Source organism: Homo sapiens, unplaced genomic scaffold (genome assembly GCF_000001405.40).
Source record: "Homo sapiens unplaced genomic scaffold, GRCh38.p14 Primary Assembly HSCHRUN_RANDOM_CTG6".
Lineage (NCBI taxonomy): Eukaryota > Metazoa > Chordata > Mammalia > Primates > Hominidae > Homo > Homo sapiens.
In genome coordinates, this window is record NT_167211.2 from 118,701 (window position 1) to 120,530 (window position 1,830).

Consider the following 1,830-nt stretch of genomic DNA (forward strand, 5'->3'; position numbering starts at 1 on the left):
ACCATGCCCAGCTAATTTTTGCATTTTTGGTAGAGATGGGTTTTACCATGTTGGCCAGGATGATCTCGATCTCTTGACCTCGTGATCTGCCTGCCTTGGCCTCCCAAAGTGCTGGGATTACAGGCATGAACCACCACACCCAGACATGAGAGCTCTTAAATAGAATTTCCATCTATAAAAAGTAGGTACTGTCAGTATTCCCCTCACATAGGTTTATGAAGAAGTCATTTTAAAAAGAGAACCCTTGTAATCGATCAGGGACCCCATCTGCTTTCTCTGTGGGCCTAGGATAAATTCTTTTGATTGTTTATGTCTATTTGGTGTAAAAAGATCTGTAGTTAAAATATAACGTTGCATTATCCATAATAGCCAAAAGGTGGAAGCAAGCCAAGTGTCTATCTGCAAATGAATAAACAAAATATGGTATATACACACTATATGCAGTAGAATACTATTCAGGCTTACAGAAAAAGGCAATTCTGACACATGCTACACCATGGATGAACATGGAAGACATTATGCCACGTGAAATAAACCAGTCACCAAAGAACAAGTATTTTATGTGATCAGCTTCTTGATAATCTCCAAAATAGCCACCTTAGCTTATTGAATGTTTGAAGCTGAAGGAATCTCAGAAATGATAAGAAGGACACTCTGACCTTCCCACCCTCTTCTCTGATGCAGGCCACAAGGCCCTTGGGTGAGAGATGCCGTCCCTGTCCCTGGAGGAAGGAGCATCCTTCTCTCTGAAGATAACGCTGAGAGGAATCTGAATGATAGGTCCTGCTGTTCCTCCCAGTTTACTACACGTAGCTCCTACCCCTTTTTGTCCTCTTGCAATTTTCTGCTTCTCTCCACTTTTTATCAAACTGTTAAAAATGATGGGAGGCCATTCTTTTGGGGCTGAGCTCCTGCACTAGCCTTCAACAGATCAGACCAAACCAAAATTGAATTACTTATGCTAAATGCTGTGTCATCAAACTGAAACTTTAAGGAAGCAGATCCCCAAACAGACCAGTTTTTCTTGAAAACATGAGATTCCAGTCTACTTGAATCAGTGGAAGAAGGAAGTCCCCTCTGCTTTAACCATTACAAAAAAGTAACTGAAGTAGCTTGATGTTAACCAATCAGATTTTTCTATTCTGTTTCCTTGTTGCTACCTCATAAAACCTGTGGTTCTGCTATTGCCCAGTGGGAACTCTCATTCTGTTTTGTAGAGTGAAAGGTGCCCAGATTCATGAATCATGAATAAAAGACAATTAAATCTATAAATTTGTTGTAGTCCTCTGATAAACAATATAAAACCTAATTTGTTGTAATTTAGTCTTTTGACAAACCTAATATAAAAAGACATAGGTTTAACTGTTTCTTCATGTCTTTATTTCCTTACAAAGGCTCCTAGTTATATCAAGTTACTTCCAGAAAAGTCCATTTTTTCTGTGTCATATAAAACTTATGTTAAGTAAATGTGTATGCTTTTCTCTTGTTAATCTGTCTTTTGGTACAAGAGCCCCAGCCAAGAAATTAGAAGGGTGGAGGAAAAATATTTTTCCTCCCTTATATATGATTCCACTTATATGAGATACCTAGATCAGTAAAATTCATAGAAACAAAGTAGAATGATAGTCAGGCTCAGTGCCTCATTCCTGTAATCCCAACATCTTGGAAGGATAAGGCGGGAGGATCACTTCAGCCCAAGAGTTCAAGACCAGGCTAGACAACATAGTGAGACCTCATCTCTACTTTAAAAAGAAAAGTCAGGTGTGGTGGAACATACCTATAGTCCCAACTACTGGGGAGGCTGAAGTGGGTTGGATCACTCGAATCTGG